We start from the raw sequence: 24,968 nt of genomic DNA, 5'->3' as shown, positions 1-24,968 counted from the left end.
AAGTTTTAGAACACACCTGAGGAATAAAGACATTTCGTGAAACTGTTTTTACAAAACTGCTTTTCAAAAATGTTTACAAGTTTCTGAACAAGTTTTATAGGTTACAATATGGTGAGTACTGCAAGACAGTTATGAGCTATTAATATCAACTTACAAATGCTTCAAATATATGTATACAAGAGGTAAGAAGTTTGGGGAACTCAATAAATTGTAAGGATAGTGCTGTGAATGAAGTGACAGTGAGCCTGAGAAATGTTAAAGTCATTTTCCTAGCCTTACACAAAACCTTTACCCAGTTAAAGCTCTAAGTCTTTTCTACATGGGACACCAAATAACGAGTAGAGGAGCAGTATTATGCTTCAGATACACAGATACGGATCAAGGAGAGTGCACCCATTTGGGCTTGGATTCCTGAGTGCGTGCAACTCTTCTGCATCTGCCAACTCGGTACATCCCAAAGAGGGTTCCCCAGTCCTCAAGTGCTGATTTCTTTTTTTTTTTTTCTTTTTCTTTTTTTGAGATGGAGTCTCACTCTGTCGCCCAGGCTGGAGTATAGTGGCGCGATCTCGGCTCACTGCAATCTCCGCCTCCCGGGTTCACACCATTCTCTTGCCTCAGCCTCCCGAGTAGCTGGGACTACAGGCACCCGCCACCACACCCGGCTAATTTTTTGTATTTTTAGTAGAGACGGGGTTTCACCATGTTAGCCAGGATGGTCTCGATCTCCTGACCTCGTGATTCACCCACCTCGGTCTCCCAAAGTGTTGGGATTACAGGCGTGAGCCACCGCGCCTGTCCTCAAGCGCTGATTTCAGTGTGGCTCCCAGTGCCCCCACTGTGCCTGCTTTCTATATCTGGTAGATGGGTAGCTGCAATTGGGGCCAGGTCAAGTGAAGTGTAAGGGGCAGTAGACATGGAAAACAAAGAAAACATACAACAGAGATTGCAAAAATCTGGACCTCTTGACAAGTTTGGTTTATAAATGTGTTTTCTGTAGCCTGCATAGCCTGCGTAATGTTTTTTATTTTAATTATTATTAATTTTACAGACAGGGTCTCACTCTGTCACCCAAGATGAAGTACAGTGGCCTTATCATAACTCACAGTAGCCTTGAACTGCTAGGCTCAAGCGACCCTCCCACCTCAGCCTCCTGAGTTACTGGAATTACAGGTGCAAGTCATGATGCCTGGCTCTTTTGTTTTTAAAGCATAAATTGCTTGTTAACAAGTATTATTTTGACTAGTAACTGATATAATTTGTTGTTAAATAATTTAATGCACAAATCCATATTTCCACATTCTCTTGGAAACTGGCAACTTTGGTCCTGCTCTTGCATGTGGCAGTAACCAGCTAGAGCTAAGTAGAAGCTGCCTCTATTAGATGGGAGGCTGTGCTTTTACATTATAGGTTGTAACCTATAACACCCCTGGCTGTTGTTTTTCTTTGAACAGAATTTAGAGGAAGGTTTAAATGTTACTTATACCACCATCTGTGTTAAAATTGGAAATAGCAAATTGATTGGATGACATATTTCAATATAAGTGAGAGATGGTATTAATTTTCTAGGACTACATAAGCAAGTACTACAAACTGGGTGGCTTTAAATAACAGAAATTTATTCTCTTATAGTTCTAAAGGCTAGAAATCTAAAGTCAAGGTGCTGGCAGGACCATGTTCCCTCAGAGGCTCATGGGGAGGATTCTGCCTTGCCTCTTCTGGCTTCTGGTAGCCCCAGGCATTCCTTGCCTTGTGGTAGCATGATGCCAATCTGATTCCATCTTATGAGTGTCTTCCCTCTGTGTCTGTCTACATCCAAATTTTCCTCCTCTTGTGAGGATACCAGTACATTGGATTAGGGCACACCCTAACCTGGTATGAACTCATTTTAACCTGATTATATCTGCAGAGACCCTATTTCCAAATAAGGTCATATTCACAGGTACTGGGGGTTAGGACTTCAACATATCATTTTGGGGTCATAATTCAACCCATAACTGATGGCATATTTCTTTGTAGAGTGCAGAGTAATGGTTAAGGGCAGGGTTCCTTGAGGCAGAGTGCTGCATTCAACTTCACAACTTATTTGCTATGTGATCTTGGGTAAGCTGATTACCCACTGCCTCAGTGCTCTCATCTATGCAATGGGATAGTGGCACAATCCTGTAAGGTTATTATAGGATTGCAGTAAGGACAAAATAAGTTAACATATATAAAGCACTTAGTACATTGCCTGGCACATACTATATGCTCAATAAACTGAACTATTGTTATTATTAGCTCTTATTCATATGTAATTTAAATGTATACAAGGAGTACCAGTGCCAAAAACTATTATTTAAGATAGCATTATGAAACCATGGAAAAACCAGGGATAGTAGGTAGAATTGTTGCATGAAAAAATAAAAAGAGAGAGACTAGAATTTTAATAAGTTTTTTTTTAATGCATACAACTGTAATACTTTAAAAATGTTAGCCTGCTCACTCTTTTAGATTACCTGCCTGGCCCCTATATGCACTTGAAGCTAACTGAAGACCCAAAGAACTTCAAACCCAGAAGCTTAGATATTGCCTGTTGGGTTGCTGAGCACAATGGCCTGTAGGTAATAATGAAGGAAGTTACTCCAGGGAGAGTGTCCAAGGAACACTGACTTCTAAGTCTTCCTACTTGTCTCCTTGGGAGCACGTTATTACCCTCTACCTTCTCCTTATAAATCTTTAGATTAAAATTATCCTGGTCCCCAGTCTCTGGGTCAGAGATTGAGACTGAATAATTCTTTGAATTTAAATTATACGTTTCCTCCCAAGGGAACAAATATTTTGAGATATATTATTTCATTTTTCCACATAGACTTTACATAAAATAATTACACAACTTGATCTTTATTAACAATCTGAGAGCTCTGATAGAGAAGGTGTAAAGAATTGGCAAGAATGTTTGACGTACCTGGAAGAAAACTGTTCAGTAGGTTAGTGGCTATTGGGTTTTTCGTACTATAGAGTATACATACACTTCATTCTCAAAGATACTGCTACCTTGAAGACGTGAATATTCAACTAAAGTCAAAGGATTTGACCTAAATGGTGAAAGGGACACATGCAAACGTTATTTCTGATTTGCGATTTTATTGGAATAAAAGAAGTTAGGGTATTTAATTTGGGGCAAAAAAAAGTGTTATTTCTGTTGTTCAAGTATTAGTAATTGGAACATTTAGATTCAATGATGTGTTCATCAGGACTGCTTCAGTTGCAAATGAAAGAAAGCCAGCTCAAACCAGTTTATGAAAATAAAGGAAACTTAATTGTTTCTGTAACTATGGTTTCCAGAGGTGCATCTGGCTTCAGGCATGGTTTCAGCCAAAAACTCAAATGATCTCATTTGGACTCCTTTTCCTCTGCTGGTTTCATTATTTGTCATTTTTCAGACAGGCATGGTCAGTAAGATGACCACTAGCAGCTCAAGATGGTTGTCCATCCAATTTAGCAATCTCAACAGAAAGAGAACCTGTCACACCAAATGTCTACCTACCTGCCTCAGAGAAGATGTGGATTGACTCTCTTTGACCTCATGTGTCACTGTGGCCTGGGAATGGGGTAAACTGGTGGGCCACCCTTGGTATGTTTTCCCAGTGCTCCAGTAGAGGGGCATAGCCCAGTGACTGCAAGCCCCGTGAGGGTCTCACAGAGTAGGAGAGGCTTTCTCCAAAGGAACCAGAAGAAAAATGGGAATGTGTGCTTAGCAGACCAAAACTGTCCTGACTTCAAACCATTAAAAATGGTATGTGAAATCATTCAGATGGCAGTTTCTGGTTTTAGGAAAGAACCATTTGCTTTTTTTTTTTTTTTTTTTTTTTTTTTTTTTGACTGAGTTTCTCTCTGTCGCCAGGCTGGAGTGCAGTGGCATGATCTCGGCTTACTACGACCTCTGCCTCCTGGATTCAAGCTTTTCGCCTGCCTCAGCCTCCTGAGTAACTGGGACTACAGGCACTCACCACCATGGCCGGCTAATTTTTGTGTGTGTGTGTATTTTAGTAGAGATGGGGTTTCACCATGTTGGTCAGGAGGGTCTTGAGAGGTGACAACATGCCAGCAGCCCTCGCTTGCTCTCGGCACCTCCTCAGGCCATGGCGTCCACTCTGGCCACGCTTGAGGAGCCCTTCAGCCCACTGCTGCACTGTGGGAGCCCCTCTCTGGGCTGGCTGAGGCCAGAGCCGGCTCCCTCTGCTTGTGGGGAGATGTGGAGGGAGATGCGCGGGTGGGAACCGGGGCTGCGCACTGCACTCGCAGGCCAGTGTGAGTTCCAGGTGAGCCCAGGAGTGTCGGCCCTGGGCAGTGAGGGGCTTAGCACCTGGGCCAACAGCTGCGGAGGGTGCACCGGGTCCCCCAACACTGCCAGCCCACCCACGTCGTGCTTGAATTCTTGCCGGGTCTCAGCCACCTTCCCGCCAGGCAGGGCTCGGGACCTGCAACCCACCATGCCTGAGCCCCGCACTCCCCCCCCACCCCCGCCCCCACCAAATGGGCTCCTGCCAGGCCTGAGCCTCCCCTACGGGCACCGCCCCCTGCTCTGCGGCACCTGCTCCCATCAACTGCCCAAGGGCTGAGGAGTGTGGGCGCGGGACTGGCTGCAGCTCCACCTGCGGCCCTGGCGAGGGATCCACTAGGTGAAGCCAGATGGGCTCCTGAGTCAGTTGGGGACTTGGAGAACTTTTATATCTAGCTGGAGGATTGTAAATGCACCAATCAGCACTCTGTGTCTAGCTTGGGGTTTGTAAATGCACCAATTAGCACTCTGTGTCTAGCTAAAGGTTTGTAAATGCACCAATCAGTGATCTGTGTCTAGCTAATCTGGTGGGGACTTGGAGAACTTTTATGTCTAGCTGGAGGATTGTAAATGCACCAATCAGCACTCTGTGTCTAGCTCAGGGATTGTAAACACACCAATCAGCACCCTGTCAAAATGGATCAGTCAGCCCTCTGTAAAATGGACCAATCATCAGGATGTGGGTGAGGCCAGATAAGGGAATAAAAGCAGGCTACCGCAGCCAGCAGCAGCAACCTGCTTGCATCCCCTTCCGTACTTTGTTTGTGAAAGCTTTGTTCTTTCACTCTTTGCAATAAATCTTGCTGCTGCTCACTCTTTGGGTCCACACTGCCTTTATGAGCTGTAACAATCACCGCGAAGATCTGCAGCTTCACTTCTGAGGCCAGCGAGACCACGAACCCACCAGGAGGAATGAACAACTCCAGACACACCGCCTTAAGAGCTGTAACACTCACTGCGAAGGTCTGCAGCTTCACTCCTGAAACCAGCCAGACCACGAACCCACCAGAAGGAAGTCCGAACACATCTGAACATCAGAAGGAACAAACTCCGAACACACGACCTGTAAGAACTGTAACACTCACTGCGAGGGTCCATGGCTTCATCTTGAAGTCAGTGAGACCAAGAACCCACCAATTTCAGACACAGTCTTGATTTGCCGACCTTGTGATCTGCCCACCTTGGCCTCCCAAAGTGCTGGGATTGCAGGCATAAGCCACTGTGCCTGGCCACCACCTGCTTTCTTCTATTAAAATCTTAGCATAAAACAAAGGAAATAGAAACAAAAATTCCAACTCTTTTTGTCAGAGGTAGATCTCATCAGTTACCTTAAACCATAAAATCTGAAACAGAAAGCATATGATACAGTAACTTAGTACCAGAAGGGCAAAACCAAAGCACCTGCAGAGGAGACGACAGTGATATCAGGAGGTTGAAGGAGGAAGGGAGGCATGGTGCTAAAAACAGATGTTCAGCTGAAAGTCTGTGAAAGGACCAGCTGAACTCCCAGGTCTTCACCTCACTCCAGCTGGACAGCAATGTTCCCCAACTCCACGAGATGAGGGGTTTGTTCTCTGAAAAAATTGGAACTACAGAGAATCTAGACCAGGACTCGGGGACAGTGGAGGGTAGAGTTAACTGAATGTCTGGTCTGATCTTAGAGCAGCAGGCAAAACAAATGTCAAAAAAAAAGTGCTTTGAATAAGAACAAATAAGACTTTTAAATATCAGTACTCAAATTGATAGCAGGGTTTGCAGAATGTTTGCTTTTTTTTTTTTTGTCCAAACGTTGTGATTTGAAGTGACAAAGTTTGGGTCCTATTCTCTTTGAATGTTTGGCCCTTATATTTATATTTATAAATAAGTGTACCACTGGATCATGATAAATAACAAAGTTTCAATGTAGAGTATTAGTTTTTGTCTTCCCTTTCGTCAGTGAAGAAGACAGAATCCTGAATGTTATTTTCTTCTGAAAGTTAGAGGAGACATCAAAAGTTGAAATTTAGCAGGCATATTTTTCAGATTTTAATTACTAGAAAAAATATTATTTTTAGGATTCAATGACTATTATTGACTATGTAACTAATAAATGTTATTATGGTACTTTTAGATTAAAAGTCTATTCCAAATTGCATTTTGATTTTTCAGATGTTCTAAATTCTAGTGTGTAAATATTATAAAAGTATTGACATTTTGAAGTGGGTGGAGTTCCGTCGCCTCTCTTTGGATTAGCTTCTAAAACTTAATGAAATAGAAAGTAAGTGTCTTTTCCCACTGAAAAAAAGGTTACATTTTATTCCTTATTGTACGGAGACCCAAATAAAATAGACAAATCAGAAATAAGAGTGCCAGAATTTTTTCTTGCCAATGTAACTTCTTAGAATTATGCTGAATTGCTTTTGCTGTAAAAACTGGACCAACTAGTCTATTATGGATATTTTGTAGAGAATTTCTGTACTTTTTTTTGGCTCAGTGAGGTCAAGAATTTTAAGTTAGAATTAAAGAACTGGAAGGCATCCTCTTATTCATTTCGCAAATGAAAGAACTGAAGTCCTGAGAAGTCATGATTTATCCAGGATCACACAATTAATAGTGAAGGTTGGATGAAATAAGAGCCTCCTGGCCATCAGTTCAGTGATCTTTGTAAAAGACCCTTCGGGTTTATTTTCACCATCACTTTACGTGCAATGTCTGTAATTTACTGCATTAGGCCAGTTAGCACATTATAAGTTTGTGTTTAATCTGCTAAAACTAAGGGAACATCTAGGATTAGGAATACTGACAGTGACAAAAATCATGGATGGCAGGAAGCATATTGAAGAATCTTTAGCTAGGGTGGGAAATGTTCCTTCATTAGCTTCTGATCCTGCTGTCTGGGAGGAACTTCTTTGTTTATTGTTCTCAGGACCTGATTCTGCCTTCTGGAAGGTTCTTCCTTGCCCATTTTCCTCCAAGGTCATATATATGTGGACATTGGGGAACATGCCCTTTGTGGAGACTATATAGCCTTTGTTTCCTTCTTTCTGTTCTTGCAATTCAGGGAGCTTGAGCATTGTTTTAAGGGTCAAACAGTCAAAGGCTTATAGGTATCACTTGTGGGGGTTTTGGCAATGCCATTCCTCCAAAACTGAGATGGCTTTTGACCTATCTTGTAGTTAGTAACATGTGCTAGCATTGGAGTGACTGTGTGGATCAGGCTGGCAAGGCAGCCTTGGCTGAAATCTCTTGTCTTGGCACGTTAAGTGATAATACTCTCTTCTACTCTCAAAACTACCCCAGTTTAGACAACGTGTATTATGGTCACTCTAGTCAATAAGCACACCAAAAATTCCCAAGTCTAATATATTTCTTTGTTTCCTTATTTTTATTCTCTTCTCTCTCAACTTACCGGAGACTCTTGTATGGCCATCGGAAAATTAACCTACTTAACTTGATTTGCAACAAGGCTGAGTCCCTCTGTTTGCCTGAGAAAATATAATGGGCCAGTTTTTTTCAGTCTTCTTTTTTACCATGTGAATTCCAGAAGCAGTCAGCTCTTATAATCCTAGGAGCTCCCCAAATTTCTGAATTTTCTATTTCCATTCATTTCTGCCCTCAAATCTGTCAGTGCTTGCCTGTGCACATTTCTTATTTATAATCTTTGATAAGTGCAACAAGTAGTACTTTGTTGTTCCTTTTTTTTTTTTTCCACCCTGTCGCTCAGGCTGGAGTGCAGTGGCACAATCTTGGCTCACTGCAACCTCTGCCTTCCGGGTTCAAGTGATTCTCCTGTCTCAGCCTCCCCAGTAGCTGGAACTACAGGCACCCGCCACCACGCCTGGCTAATTTTTGTATTTTTAGTAGAGATGGGGTTTCACCATATTGGCCAGGCTAGTCTCGAACTCCTGACTTTGTGATCCACTCGCCTCGGCCTCCCAAAGTGCTGGGATTACAGATGTGAGCGACTGCGCCTAGCCGTACTTTGTTATTCTAATATTGTTCATCTCTTTTCTCCATAGACATGGACTTGGTAGACACTTGTTCTGCTTTTGAAGTTGTATCAGGCATTTTTAAAAATTGAGCTATAACTTACATACAGTAAACTCACAGCTCTTGTGTTGAGTTCAGCGAGTTTTGACAATTATGTACATCCGTGTAACTACTACCCAAAATATGATATCAGACATTCCATTGCCCAAGATGGATGTCCATTTCTAGTTAATTGCCTACTTTAAACCTCTGGAGGCAACCACTTTTTCACTTCAATCACCAAAGATTAGTTTTGGCAAGCAGTATTTTTAGTAAGTGTTTTATGACTGTGTGACATAAGTACCTTTCTATCCTTTTCTCAGTTTCTTCATCTCCTGCTGTTTGGCTGCTAAGCAGTCACCATATGTTTTAGTTTTTTTAATGTCAGCATCCCCCTCAAAAATACCATTTTTCTTGTATTAGGGAAAGCCAGCTATTATGATAAATGTACCCAAATTGTATAACAGCTTAAATCCAGTTAAAGTGCATTTATTGCTAATGAAGCAGTGCATTGAAGGCATTCTTGATCATTTGGTGACCTTCCATAATGTGGGCCTTGGAGTCCTCTAGCAGCTGGGGAAAGAGCATGAACATACCTTACCTGCTGCTTCTGAGGAACCTTAACCTGGAAGTTGGCATTCAGTCATTCTCACTGACATTCTATTGGGGAGAACTACTCACAAGGCCACATGTGATACAAGGTTGGAAAGGCTTGGAAAGGGAAAATTTTGACTGGGCAACCACTTCCCAGTGACAGCTCCCACACTGTGAAGGGGATAGCAAATTTTGGACAGGTTAATGCGATAACTTTTATTTTGTTTTAATAACATAATACTATATTGCATCTCTTTTTTGTCTTCATGTTATTTCTTTGTCTTTGTATTATACATTCTTTTATACTTTCTGGATAAACATTTTCAGTATTTGAAACTTTAAAAAATAGTATTGTTATCTCTGTAGTAGAAATGTTCAAAGCAAAAGCAAGTAATCTTCCCCAGATTATTCAGTGAAATTAAAATTAGTTCTGGGCATCAACAGATATAATCTAACTCTTAAAAGACAAAGCTGCCCAGTATCACCATTTCTGTTCAATATTGTGTCAGAGATCCTAGCCAGCAGAGTAAGTCAGGGTCGGGGGTGAGGGGTGGGGGACAACTACAAGAAAAGATGTAGGAATGGAAAAGGAGAAAAACACTGTCATTATTGGCAAATGACTTAATTGTCTATATAGAAAGCTCCTAGGACTCAACAGCTAAATTCTTAAAATTAGAGAGTTGAGCAAAGTTTTTAAATGTAAAGTCAATATAGGGAACCCAATTGCGTTTCTATAGACGAGCAGCAACAACAAAACAGAAAATTTAAAAACCACTTTATTTTGAAATAATTAACATCCTACATAGCCGTAGTATATTTATCAAAACTAAGAAATTAACATTTATATACTAATATTAACTAAACTACAGCTTTTATTTTGATTTTTCCAGTTTTTCTACTGATACTTTCTTTTCATTGCAGGATCTAACCCAGGATACCACATTGCATTCAATAGCCATATCTCTTAACCAATTTAAGGCAGTTTCTTGATCTTTTCTTGTCTTTCAGGGATTTGATACTTTTGAAGAATAGTGGTCAAGTCTTTTGTAGAAAGGATATCAATTTGAGTTTGGTGTTTTCTCATTATTATATCACATCATGTCAGGCAGTAAATGTTATCAATATTGAAACCCACCCAATTATCCCATAGATAGTTTTTTGGATAAACAGAAATTGACCATTCTGGTCTTAAAGCTGGAAACTTTATTTTATCTGAGTTCCTTTCTCAGGAAATGACCTTCAGGCCTCTCAAAATAAGTATCAAAGAACTGAATCTCACCAGATCACCACATCCAAACAAGGAAATGCCGCACCCCTCATTCATCATGATTGCCTCCTTGCCTCTCTAGAGTTCCTATTTTCTCACACATCGTTACATTTCTTCCCTGGTATGTAAGCCCCTAGTTTTAGTCGGTCAGGGAGATGGATTTTAGACTGAGCTCCCATCTCCTCGGCTGCAGCACCTGATTAAAGCCTTCTTCCTTGGCAACATTCATCGTCTCAGTCATTGGCTTTCTGTGCAGTGCAACATCAGGACCTAGACCAAACCTCTGGTGTTTCAGTAACAATATGACTTGTTACTGGTCATGTTAACCTTGATCAGTTGGTTAAGATGGTATCTGCAAGATTTTTCCACAGTAAAGTTACTACAGAAATGTAATTTTTAAAAGATATAATTTACATAGCAACATACTACAAATAACTTTTGTAGAAATTTAACAAGTTATGTCTAAGTCCTTTATTGAGAAGTTACAAACTTTTATTGAAAGACATTAATGGATTAGAAGATTTAATGTTGCAAAGATGTTAATTCTCTCTTATTACACATAGAATCAAATCCCTAACAGATTTTGAGATTGTATGATTACTATTAATATTATTATTTGGATGATACTTGACATTGTAATTCTGAACTTAAATGGAAGAGCAATCATCCCAAAATCACATACAGATTCCTAAAGAAGGTGTTTTTCCTCCTATCAAGGAAGTGCTTTTGCTGCCTTTATATAATGACAATATAAAACCATAGTAGTTAAGCCAGCATATGGTATGAGGATATACAAATTGGCAGATGAAAATAATAGAAAATTTACAAACAGATCCACCTATATGTGGAAGCATGATTCATGACACAACAGGTGTTGAAGATCATTGGGGGAAAGGGTGCGCGTAACAGCTTTCAGTATATGGTGCTGAGGCAATAGAGTGTCCATATGAAAAAGATGGAAAGTGGATTCTTACCTCATCATACACAAAATGGGAAAAGTTAAAATGTTATGTTAGTAATTATAGTTTAATTATAAAATCTAAAATTATGCATTTAGAAGCAGAGCTCGGGAAAGAAATTGAAGAAGAAAATGAAACTGTCAAATGAAAACAACATTGGAAGGAGTACAAGAGAAAAAGATGATACAGGAAAAACAGTGAGGTCATGGAAATTAGACATGAGAGAGGTGAGCAAAGTCAAATATACATTTAAAAGAGTGACATAACACCTGAGCTTTAAAATGTCAGTGTTTACAATATGACAGAAACACTGCATCACCTATTAACTTTGCTCATCCTGCTGAGTTACATGCCAGAAATCATAATGTGATCTACAGATTATTTAATAATGTTTCTACTGACAATTCAATTATGCCATCATTTGTAGAAAGCAAAGGACTGGAAATCACTTAACTTGGAGGGGGATGTGCTATCACTTTCTCAGTTTGGAGAAATTTATCAAAAAGGCTTAACTAAGACTTATCAAATGAGTGTTACACTTATTATTCTTTTACTTAGGGGCACCCTGTTTAACCTAACATACTTAGAAAGGGTTGTTTAAAATATTATTAATTCCATTGTGTACTTGGCAATGTACAATTTTTAGACAATGGTTTTTCTTTTTCTTTTTTTTTTTTTGAGACAAAGTTTCTCTCTTGTTGCCCAGGCTGGAGTGCAGTGGCACAATCTTGGCACACTGCAACTTCCACCTCTCTGGTTCAAGTGATCCTCCTGCCTCAGACTCCCAAGTAGCTAGGATTATAGGCATCCTCCACCATTCCCAGCTAATTTTTTGTATTTTTACTAGAGAAGGGGTTTCACCATGTTGTCCAGGCTGGTCCCAAACTCCTGACCTCAGGTGATCTGCCCGCCTCAGCCTCCCAAAGTGCTGGGATTACAGGCGTGAGCCACCGCTTCTGGCTGACAATGGTTTTTCTTAATTTATACCTCAAATATATTTTTATCAAAACCTTGAAGCTATAAATGTAGATCACTCAATTTAGGGAAAATGGTTGCCATTTAATCTAATTGACAAAGCTGGTATTTATTTTCAAACTTATCTTTTAAATCAGACATCCTTCTGTCAGTAAAAGTCCCACTTGATTTTTCATCTCAAATAAATATGTTAATATATGCCTCCATGACAACCATCACATGGCTGAATTCTAATTCTAATATAGATTAAGTAGATAAGGCACAGAGCCTTACCATGTGTTGCCTGGATACAATAAGGTACTGCTGCCTTCAGTGTTTCTTTGCTTTGCGCTCACTGAAATCTCCAGAGAGATACGTCTTTAACACTAATAAGAGTATAGAAGAGGTAATCCCTGTAAGTAAAATGTCCTCACTGTGTATTGTGGAACTGCTTCATTCTACAATACACTCAATTTATCATATAATAATATGGGCCAAGTACTCCATTTCTTAATAAAATCTGTATGAGACATGGAAAGAACAAGGCCTTACTATAGTGCTTTGATTAAAGGAGGTTTCATAGATAGCATTGTTATAATTTTTCCCCGTTTTTGGAACCCTGGAGGTTTTTACATCCCAGGAGGTATGCATTTCTTTTGTGAAGTGAGAAGAGAGGCCGCATGATGCCTTAGCTGCCAGTACACTCTCAGAAAGATCGGTATTGGGAAGAATGAGAGTTGAGGACCTGGAAATAGATTGCCTTAAAACTATCTAGGCCTACATATCTCTTAAGAAGCATTAGAGCAGCCTCGGATGTTCCTCAGTTTTAAGACCATGGGTGTAGATGACAGGCCAAGTAGATCCATCATACGCATAATCATAGACCCAACAAAAAGTCCAAACTTAATGAAAGAAAACCAGTGTTTAGAGCATAAACTTTTCTGAAATAAGTGACAACTTGAATCTAAACATTGAAAGGACACTGTGTGCCTGGGTCTGGTAAAGTTGCTGGACCTCAGAGATAAAATTTTGGGAGGGAGCCAGAAAAATAGGTCAAGATATTTATAAAGGAGAAAATTATGTTGGCCTCAGATTTCATTCAGTGCAAGAAAATAGGCCATACTTAAAAGACTTTTAAGAAAAGGATAGGTAACTTACAGATTTTTATATCTGTCCAAATAGTCCTTCAACTATAAGTCAATAGGCAAATAGCTTTAAATTTAAAATAATATAAAAATGATTTATTTGAGACTTTATTGAGGCAACACTGGAGGACAGATCTTTTTTACTTGACGTTGAAAGGTAAAGATGTACTTGAACCTGCTAATCAACCACATAAATACACTTGTTTGCATACAGGTTCAACTTCTTTAGCACAAAGATAAAGCAATAAGTTATCATGATACCCATCTCCAAAGGTTAGTTCATTGATGAAGTAAATAGAATCTTGGGCATGGTGTTTGCTTGATACCGTGAATGCTGTTACCAAAAATCTTCCCAAGAAACATTAACTTTGCCTCTTTCTAGGTAAAACAAATTAAATCTGTAAAAGATCTTATATGCTTGAGTTAGAAAAACCCTGAATATATTTGGGTTGGTGACAAAAGTGAAATATAACACCCCTGCCACTTTGAACAAAACTACATTGATTGTGAACTGTAGTAAAATATGTCATATAATCCTTTTTGAGAAGCCATCTGAGAAAGAGTATTATGTTTTTCTTCAGTGGTAAAGAGTTGCAGTATCTAAACCAAGTTTTCTACTGGCTACACTCGGCTATTTCTATTCTTGACCTCTATGGTTGACAGCAGCAGATGAGAAAAATGAAGTCTGTAATAAGTTTGTCTGTAAGAGAGCTGCAGTGCTCTTTATAACTGATCCTGCAGCCAGGGTGCAGGATACCCAGGTCATGATTTGGGTTCTTTAGTTCGATTGCCCAGAGGATACCAACTCATATTCCCAGGGAGATCAAACTGCCAAGTAAAATGAGGATGGCGAAGCTGTATCAATTTTACTTCTCTCAGGAGAAGAAAAGGATGGTGTAGCTACCTCTCAAGAAGAGGATACCTATGAAAGAAGGAAAAATTAATCCAGAAAAACTTAGGGACATCCAGAAAATACCAGAGCCCTTTTTAGCCCAAGATCAACCATTAAAAGGAAGACCTCAAAGGTATTTCATTTCCTATGTACGTTAGTGTATCTGATAAGTATTTGAACAAGTTACCTCTACCTGAATATGCTGTGTCTCTTTGTCTTGCTGTGACACTTTGGATAAGGTCTCTGCAGAAAATATAGAAACAACTGACCAAAGAGTTGTTAATGAGAATACAGCTCTTATCTCTCACCAATGACTACATGGAAGAATTTAGAGCCTATTTCAATAACAATATGTTGTTCATCCTTCAGTCAGATGGAAAGAGACCAGAAGCAGGAGAGAGAGAGTACATGCGGGCCAATGATGTTAGTAATGAAGAAGGAGAGGAAGAGAAAGAAAGAGACAGATGAGATGGAAAATGGAAAAGAAAGTGTTGAAAACAGAGGAGCCTCAAACTCAGTCTGCCCCTAATACTGATGAGGCACAGAAAACCAAGGACATTTCTATAAAGTTCATGAACACAGATGAGGAGGCTGAAGATGGCCCAGATGCTGATTTCTTTAAGGAGAAATAGTACTGTATGCTTGGGTTGGTTGGATCTCGAAGAGAATTCATTGTAAAATAAAAATTTGTCAGCCGGGCGCGGTGGCTCACGCCTTTAAAAACAATACAAAAATTAGCCGGGCATGGTGGCGTGCGTCTATAGTACTAGGTACTCCAGAGGCTGAGGCAGGAGAATCGCTTGAACCTGGGAGGCAGAGGTTGTGGTGACCCAAGATCTTGCCACTGCACTCCAGCCTGAGCAACAAAGCGAGACTCTGTCTCTAAATAAATAAATAAATATAAAATAAAAAATTGTCTGAATCCAGTGACAAGAAAAAAGTGACCAAAATCACACGCAAAAGAAATGAGAAATTTTAAGTGAATAAGAACATAATTCTTACTGACGAAGGGAAGTAGGTTCAGCGCTGGCCACCGATGCAGAAGTGCATCTTAAAGGATGCTAAGGAAGAGGATTGTAGTGGTATAAACCTTGAAAAATCAAAAGAAAGGCTTCAGGAAGTGGAAAAATTTGACAAAGAAGAGTAGAGGAAAAAAGTTAAGACAAAGCATATGGAGAAAATACTTCAAAGGGGAAGCAAAAAGAGAGGCCAGCAAGGCCAAAGATGAAGGGAATGTCTTTTAGGATCTCAGTGGTAATAATGGGAAATTCGATTAATTCACTCTTAGATCCTCGTACATACAGATGTCTGAAGAATCAGATAGTGAAGATACGGAAAATAAAATTAGTAGTTCAGGAAAACCCATAGAAGGAAGAAAAGGAGCCACAGTAAAGTGGACAATGTGAAACTACTATTATAACAAGTTGCAAATGAAAGAAGGCCAAGTAGGAATCCTCAGAGTCTCTGGATACAGTTCTGTCTCTAGCAGAAGACAAAGAGCTTAAATTTTATCTAAGAGCTTAAACTATATCTGCTCAAAATGAAAGCTAAATACTTGCTGCTCTTCTCCTCTCCTTGAAACCTGTGCTCATGACTGCGTGGGTCAGATGTCAAAAAAGCTTTGGAGTAGTTAGGTAGCAAAAGTCCCATACCTAAAAGATCGATGCAACTGCAGACTGAGGTAATGGTATGTCTGACACCTTTCTTCCCCATCAGATAATCTACTTAAAATGTGTGTGGATTATAAAAATTCCCCAGCCTGATTTCCAGCATGTATATTGTTAGACTTTAGTCCATTCCTTTATTTTACTGCCAACTTGTAGAATCTCCATTCATTTTTAGAAATTCTTGTCTTGTTTACCATACAGAATATAGTATGTACTATTTAATATTAAACTTTCTCACGATTTTCATGTTTTTAATGTTTCCAAGGAGTGAAAATGCGATGGAGGCACCCTGAGAAATGAGTATTTTTGAATTGAGATGATCATTAATAGAACCTATTTCCTATTTCTAATAAAAGTAGAACATTTAGGAATAAATTCAACAAAAGACATGCAAAATCTGTAAGAACAACAAAACTATACTGAGAAAAATTAAAGATAGAAATAAATGAAGAGAGATGCCATATGGTTGGAAAACTCAATTAAATGACATTTCCCTCAAAATTGATCTGTAGATTCAACATAATCCCTAGCATAAATCCACGGGCCTTTTTGTAAAATTAGCAAGCTAATTCTAAAAGTTACATAGAAATGTAAAAGACTGAGAAAATCTGACGAATCTTAAAAACATAGGTGGAAGACTTGAATTTGTACCATAACTATAAAGCTGCAGTAATCCAGATAGCATGGTGCTGCCATAAGGATAAACTAATAAATTAATGCAATTGAACAGAGGCCATAGACCCATTTATATAGTCCTTTGATTTCAAACAAATCCAAAGCAACCAAGTAGGGAAAGGAAAGTGTTGCAGTAAATGGTGCTGGGTCAACTAGATATCCACAAGCAAAAATATAAATCTCAATTTCTGTCTTGCATCATGCATATAAATCTATTTGAGATGAATCATACTACTAAATATAAAAAGCTAAAGCCATACGAATTTAAGAAAACATCAGAGAATATCCTTATGACTTGGGGGTAGGCAAAGATTTCTTAGGATGTAGAAAGCAATCACTGTAAGAGAAAAGCTTTAAAGAATAGACTTCATTGAAAAAACCAAACTTGTGTTTATCAAAAGATACCACTAAGAAAACAAAAAACAAGCCACAGACTGAGAAAAATATTTGCTAAATGTATATTTGTCAAAGGAATATATAGCTAATTTATACAGCTCCATAACAAAAAGCGGAACAACCAGAAACTAAAAAGGAATAGGGAACAAATGATTTGAAAAGACACTTTGTAACACAGACACTGCACAACGGAAGATATTCAAATGATTAGTAAGCATGTGATCAGCGTCATTTGTCATCTGGGAAATGCAGGTTAAAATGAGAATGAGAAACCCACCATACTGTCTAAAATCAGATAGGATCTAGAGCAACTGGCATTCTTATACATTAGGTATACCACTTGAGGAAAAAGATCTGGCAGTTTCTTATGAAGTTAAATACACTTACCCAATGATTCAGCAGTTCTCCTAGATATTTGCCTAAGAGAAATGAAAATAAAAATCGACCAAAAAGATTCTTATGAGAAGTACATACATAATATATGTGCATAATATAGCTTCAATCATACTAGCCAGAAACTGGAATAGCCCAGCTTCCCATCAGTAAGAGAATGGATAAACAGACTGTGGTTATTCATAAAATGAAACACTGGCAAATTATCTGTGAGGGGAAAGGATGAGAAAAGTCGTTGCTTCTAGGGGATGGGACGGGAACTGACTGGGAAGGATTTTGAAGGAACAAACTTTGGGTAGTGGTAATGATTTGGGTTACAAGGTATATGCATTTGTAAAAAAACTTATGGAATGGTACACTTAAGATTGGTGCATTTCATTTTATATAAATTTTGCCTCAAGAAATAAAAAAGAGCTTTAAAAATCACAAGGAAGTACTTTTTTATGTCCATTAGATTGGCAAAAATGTTGGAGCATCCTGAACTTATCTTGCCCTGCTAGTGGTTATACAAATTGAATCAACCATATAATACATTTGCATTAACTAATAAGTTGTGCATATATCAACCAAGCAACTCCACTCTGAGGCATAGAAACTCTTGGTAATCTACATAGAGAAATACATAATATGTTCCAGAAAGCTGGGAACAACTCAGATATCCATCAATAAGAGAAGACACAAATTGTGCCACATTCAAACATATCATCATGGATAAGTCTCATGAACAGAATAAAACCAAGAAACTTAAGAATACTTCCAATATGATTCCAACCAATATAACTCCATCCAAAATCTTGCAAAATTAAGCAAGATATTAGGGATACATATGGTAACACTATAAAGGAAAGCAAAAACAACAACAACAAAAAAGGATAGCTGGAGAGAAGGCATGGGAAAAAGGATTGGAATTGGAATGGGAAAGGCCATAAAGGGGACTTCAAAGTTATAAGTAATGTATTCTCTAAACTGGCTAGTGGGAAAACAGGTGTTCATTTTACTATTTATAACTTGCACATTTGTTGAAAATACTATTTGGTATGTATTCAGCATTTAATTTCTTGAGAAATTAGAGGTACACTTAAATAATCTTTAAGGATACTTCTTAGCAATAATACGATATGCAAAATATGAGAAGTAGGCTTTCTGCTGTCACTAATTCAGTCATTCAAGTGTTTATCAAATGCCTATACAGCTTGATATGGATGTGACATTAGTGGCCTTATTTGGAGGCCACAGTTTTGGTGGCTGTATCTTAAAAGCGAATTAGAAGAACTACTGAAATCTAAAATGATTGGGATTTATATTGGTACAGTATAAATCTTCTGAGACTGTTTCTCAGAAGTTCCGCCATTATTGCTTCAAGAAGGGAAAGAAAATTATGGATTTTCACTTATGTGATGGGTAAATGAAACCATCAGAAAAGACAGAAGTAATTTTTTTGGCCTTTGGAATGAATCTCCTCCAACAGAATTCTTTTAAAATAGGATGGGCCAGATAACTGAGAGGGCCCGGCTTTGACCTCTTTCCACTAATGCTGGTTCAGCTGACTTCTCAAAGCACACTTTTATGAGTTGAACTGATTATTGACCCATCAATGAATTTACCTTAAAACCAGGTCATGGAGAATGACTCCCATAATATATTTTCTTGCAACTTCACTGTGATAAAAATTCTCAGGATGCTGTGGCTAATATCTAGATCTTAATGTTATGTTGAATCCTAAACATTTTCAAGATATTTATAGATTTTTTCATCTCTGCACTTCCTGAAAAATCTGTGAATATTTTTCATTAAATTAACTTGCCGAGAAAATTAAGGTTGGACACTGTGGCTTCCTATATAGTCCTACATTTGTAGCTTTAAATGTTAAGGGCTTACCCCAACCCTTTACTCTTTATAAGTATTCAAACATTCCTTTGGATAACAAATAATAAATTCATAGTGCTAGATATCCAGCAAGATGACAGTCTGGTTGCTTATATGAAGTACCTAAATATACACAATTGCAATTCCAAAGCCTTATTGCTTCATTTATCACAGGAAGTGCCAGAGTTCTGCAATATCTTGTAAGAAAAGCTACTCGACTTGCATGAATTCTCATAGGAATGACCATGAATATTATGCCAATTTCATCCTAAGTATTGAAGTTAAGGTTCTAAATGACATTTAATAGTATGATTTATTTTCTATCTTAAACTTCATAGGGCACAAAGCAAGATCCTATCCTTTCATATTGCTTTTTTATTTTTAAAGAGTCTGACTGATGATAAAAATCTAAGCTTAAAAACTGTCAAATGATTTATGATATTTCATTTATTTTTCAAAGGATTGGGGTGTCACCAGTAAGCCTATTAGAATTGTAGGTTTAAAGTTCCTTGATTTTAAAAAAGACCAGCTGCCTAAACAAGTTTTGAGCTTTGTAATTTAATTCTATGTGATTTTTTTTAATACTTCAAAGTACCAAAGTAGGCATTTCTTCTTAGGTCATAAATAGTTGTTTATGTCATTATGATTTCAAACTTTCAAGTACATTTTAAGATCTACTTTTTAAAAATATTGATTTTTTTTTATTGTGTTCATTACAACCTCAAGACATTTCTTTCTGTCTACCTAAATCTCCCTTTCTTCATGGGCTGACAGCAACAAAGGTAGAACATGAAGAAACTGGAGGAAGCCTCCTTTTAAAAAATTGGAATTCTGTAGTCGAGTATATATAATCCAGTGTCTTTGAGAAATGCTGTGAAACCACTTTAAAGCTGTTTTTTAATGACACTTTTAAGTTTGGGATAATTGTAAATTTGCATGCAGTTACAAGAGATAATATATGTTCCATGCACCGCTTACACAATCCCCCCAGTGGTAACATCCAGGATATTAACACTGATGCATTCTAGATCTTATTCAGATTTTCCTAGTTTTTCTCGAACTCATTTGTGTGTGTATTTATTTAGTTCTATCTAATTTTTATCACATGTGTAGCTTCTTGTATCTACTACAGTCAAGATGAACATTTCCATCACAAAGATTCCATCATGTTGGCCTTTTATAATCACACTCATCTACCTTCCCACTTCCCACCCCTGTCCCTAACCCCTGGCAACCACTAATCTGCCCCCTGTTGCCATAATTTTTCCATTTTAAAAATGTTATTTAAATGGATCCTTAGATTTAACTTTTTTGATTTAACTTTTTTAATTTAACTTTTTCATTCTCTTGAGATTGTCTCGAAATTAATATTATTTCCTTGAGATTCATCCAACTTGTGTTTATTAATAACTTGTTCATTTCGATTACTAAGTGGTATTCCATTAAAATCAATTTTGATTTTTAGTTTATACGCACACATAAAATGTGAAGCAATAATGCAAAATATCAGTTTAAAACGTGTTTAGGACATTGTTGAAATTAACCTATTAAAATTACATATTTTTTGTCATTTTAGTCATTTGGATTGGATTTGTCTATGGCTTAATATGCTAAGACTGGATGAATCATCACCTGTATACCGAACATATAGTTCCAGTGGGAACATTCTATTCCCTAACTCATTTTAATAAAAACTGTGAGGTTGGAGATACAAGAGAAGTTCCTTGTTCTTATTCCAGAAGATTTGCTATTTAGTTTTTTCTTTCCTTTTACAGCCTGTGATTACCCACGTAATTCTCTTCATATAACCTATTGTTACCTAAGTAATTCTTCTTCCCCTTGTGCCTGTGCTTGCTTTTCCAACTAAATGATTAAGTGTCTTAATTTCTAGGCTGACTAAGATACTTCTTTCCTCCTTCCTCCCTAAATTCACTTACTCTTTCTCTAACCTGAAAGAAAGGGGTAAGATGATGAGTACCAAGAATAAAAGTATTTGGCTTCATCTGGGAGGCCAGAGAAGGCTTCCCTAAGGAGGATACATTTAAGCAAAAATCTGATGGATGAATAAGAGTCAACTAGGAGAAGAGGAGGAAGAAATAGCATTTTAAACAGAGAAAAGAAAGGGCATGGGCAAAGACCCTGTGGTGGGAAGGAGCAAAGCAAGCAGGAAGAATTGGAATCAAGCCAAGTGGAGAATGGGCTGAGAGAACCAAGGGAATATATGGTATGAAATTGGACTGGAGAGGGAGGCAGAGTTCAGACCTTATAGAGCTTTTTAGGTCATATTTAATAAAGATCAGTGCTTATTCTAAGACCAATGAGAAACAAATAAAGGGTTTTAAGCATGAAGTTGACTTGTCCAGATTTGCAATCTGTAAAGATCCTTTTGGCTGCAGCGTGGATGGTGCTTTGGGGTAAAGGGTGGAAGTGTCTCGACTGGTTACAGGCCATTTTAGTGGGGTACACTGGAGAGGATGGACCTTGGGGTAAAGTTATAGTGGTGCAGTTATAGAAAAGATAACAGATTTAATCCTTAAATCCCAACAGATATGTTGTATTAGAAATGGGAGAGGAAAGAGAACTGTATTAAAAATAACTACTAGATTTCTGATTACAGCATTTAGACAGCGAGGGAATTCCAGCAGCAGATCACATTTTGGGAACATCATGCATTTCAAAGGCAGAACATTTCAGATGGCTTTGAGACACACAAGAGGAAAGGTCAAATAGTAATAATGATAATAGCCAATATTTTTGAGCATTTACAGTTATTACAGCATTTTTTAAGCTGAGGACATGGAAACACAGAAATGTTAAGAGACTTGTCCAATGTCAGACAGTAAGTGGAAGAAACAGGATTTAAATCTACGTAGTTCACCTCCAGAGCCCATGCACCTTATCATTCTGTATGCTGCCTGTGTAGACAGATATGGACCTACAGATATGTAGGTGTGGAGCTCATAGAAGGGGTCTGGACTAGAGATTAAAAGTACAGAACAAAAAAGTTCATTTTTATTTACATCTCTGTGAAATGGATGAGATATCCTAGGGAGAGAATATAAAGTGAGACATGATGTTTACCTTGAGGCTCTTCAGCATTCAGTGGCCAAGGATGGCAAGATAGGCAGAAGGAAAGACGAGGGACTTCTGGTTGATATAAAAGAAGAGAAAGGGGATGTTAAGGAGATAATGAACAATGGTGGTTTTACTGCTAACATGTCCAGTAAGATGAAGACTGAATGGTGTCTGTGGACAACTTTGACAGAAGGGTCTTGGAGGAGTGGTGTAGTGGGGCTCAAGCACATATGAGGAGTGAATAGGAGATGAGGACATGAAGTCAGAACATTTAGGCAACTCTGTAGAGAAGTTTATTTGAAGCAGGAAGTGTCTAGATAGGCCTGTGAGCTATAGCTGGAGGGAGATGTGGGGCCAAATGGTTTTGTTTTGCTGTTATTTTAAAGGAAGAGACTAGGGTTTGTTTAAAAACCAGTGCAAAAAGATCTGCGTAAGAAGAAGAGGTTGAATATATAAACAAGAGAAGGAATAATATTTTCATGTTGTTGGGAAAATGGGAGAGAATGGGATTAGGCATAGGCAGAGGGTCTGGCATTTGGAAGGAGGAGGGGCACCACTTTGGTGTGTCAAGTCCAGAGTAGGAAGGACTGGAGCCACTTTGGTAGGTTGTATGTGATACCAGGAAGGAGAGTGACTTTCCATCAGATAACTTCTGTTTCCTTTGGAAAATGAAGGTGAAATGATCTAGAGAGAGCATGAAGAGGAGAATAGTACTGAAGGTTTGAGGAGTTAAGGAGAGCAGGTTTAGTGTCAGGCATCAAAGAGGCTGGCTCTTGTGTTTCCAAAAATAATCTGGGCAGTGAGTTTCCTAGTTGACCACAAACATCGTTTTCTGAGCAGTTGCAGAGTTTGAGGAGATGAGAATTTGTAGGACACAGAGACTTAGGCTGTTCTAAATGTGGTTTTTGTATTGTATGTGTCCATTTCTCCTGAGAAGTGAGGTCAGTATTAAAGCTGAGAAGGAGACGGGAGGCATGAGATGTTCTGTGGAAATTTTTAAACACATTTTTTTAAAGCAAACATCTGTAGTGATTTAAATTATTTTATTGAAAGCGTCTTCTGACACATCACATGTTATCTTACATTTTACTTATTTTAGAGAACAGTTTATTCACCAGCAAGGCTCTTCAACTGGCTTTTTAAAGACAGGGCCCCTATCTCACTAAGCAAGCTGCTGAGTGTGTCCCACAGGTATTCACTAAATAAATGGTGAGAGAAGTGCTAGATATTGCAACTCTGCTGGTACTGTGGCTACATTTTATTTGGCCAAGGGATTTTTTTGCTTTATATTTTTTTGTAAACCTTACTAAATAGATGTTCTCATTTGAAATTATAATGATCTCCATTTTTTTAATGTGCCAAGAGAGTGATTTTCCCTTACCCAATTAAAAGTTTGATTCATTTAATGTAACTGAGAAGTGTGAATCATAAACGAAACATTATATGTATTTATTTTTCATATGTTTTAAGTTATGAAAATGTATTTGCTTGAACTACCATATTCTAAGATTTTGATACATTTTGTAGTGACTCTTCTGGATGTTTTCTATTCCAGAAAATATGAAATTTTAGTTTCGATTTTTCATAAAAAGATATATTGAATATGATAGCTTTAATTTTAACTGTATTAATTTAGATTGGCCTAGGAACCACAGAATGCTTACACAAAAATTCTAAAGAACATACTAAGAAATAGTTTATTTTTACCATAGGTAAAAAGATGATGAGTTTCTCTAAATATAGGCGGCTTTTTTTTTTTTTTTTTTTGGCCAATATACAAATAAAGATTCGTCTAAAGCAGTGGTTCTTTAAAGGGGTGCTATATCAATACTAACATATAAAGTTGCTTTCTGCCCCTTTGCAAGATTGTGTCTCCGTTCTTCATGCTACCATGCCCCTGCTGAGACTCTCTTCATACTGACCAGATTGTTTTCTGCTTCAGTCAGGTTTTGAAGTGTTCGCATTTTTTTTCTACTGTATCTTTGCCTCCTTGTCCATCTATGGCTATAGGAAGCTCATCCTGGGAGTGGAGGAACAGATGTTCTGTCATTGCCACATTCTTCTGGACACAGACTGGAGAACTATAGGAATGTAAGCATTTGCTGAAACATAGTACTCTTTTCTGTTTCTAAGCACCTATTCATTATTGCTGTCATTGACCCTTATGTTCTCCATCTTTCCCAGGGTTCCTTGCTTCCTTCAATCTATGATCACTTTAAGTATGGTCTTTCCTCTTCCCTTCACCTATAGTCTCAGGTGAATCTTCTTCCCCCTTTACCAAGTACACAAGGTAATTGTACTCTAACACCCTAGGAAAACCTGAAGTCTTTGTGCAGCCAGCCTGTCCTGGACAAGGGCAGAGAGCTTCAGGAGCTTGCTTTTCAAGAAGTGCCCAGTTGAACCTAGGGAGCTTCAGTCCTCAAGAACAAATGTGAAAGAAGATCTAGCTAGACAAACTGTGAAAAGAATATATTTACCTGCCATGACCTTTACGTTGGTTATGAGGATAGCTCAGAAGTCTCTTTGCATCACTCTATGTACCCTACTTGTGTGGATATTTTGTGATATGGTCTTCAAAACTGGAACAAGGCATGGCATACCAGCTTGAAAGAATATTTTTAGATTCAGGCTCCATGGTGGTTACCATATGACTGCTTAAGGCACAGCTGCTTCTAAAACACCTTTGCCATACTTAACTTTTTCTGATTTAATTAGATCATATAGTTAGTGTCATTAATTTGGGATGGAAGCACCCT

General features: G+C 38.2%; 1 protein-coding gene and 1 pseudogene across 54 annotated transcripts in view; both read left to right on the top strand.

The window, feature by feature from the left end:
• The window catches only part of ZNF438 (zinc finger protein 438), a 187,780-nt gene that overhangs the window by 97,749 nt on the left and 65,063 nt on the right, over nucleotides 1-24,968 (top strand). For 10 of the 54 annotated variants that reach the window (XM_047424729.1, XM_047424733.1, XM_047424734.1 and 7 more), the window contains one exon: nucleotides 11,248-11,376. The exons of 32 other annotated variants lie outside the window; for them this stretch is intronic. The gene's annotated coding sequence lies outside the window, so the exon portion shown is untranslated. Of the gene's footprint in view, nucleotides 1-3,883; nucleotides 4,013-11,247; nucleotides 11,377-24,154; nucleotides 24,304-24,968 lie in introns of all 54 variants that reach the window. 12 more of the 54 variants (XM_024447872.2, NM_182755.3, NM_001143770.2 and 9 more) reach the window with 4 other exon arrangements.
• DDX10P1 (DEAD-box helicase 10 pseudogene 1) lies at nucleotides 13,533-15,655 on the top strand (annotated as a pseudogene).

This window comes from Homo sapiens, chromosome 10 (genome assembly GCF_000001405.40).
Source record: "Homo sapiens chromosome 10, GRCh38.p14 Primary Assembly".
NCBI lineage: Eukaryota > Metazoa > Chordata > Mammalia > Primates > Hominidae > Homo > Homo sapiens.
This window is presented reverse-complemented; position numbering and strand designations above follow the sequence as displayed.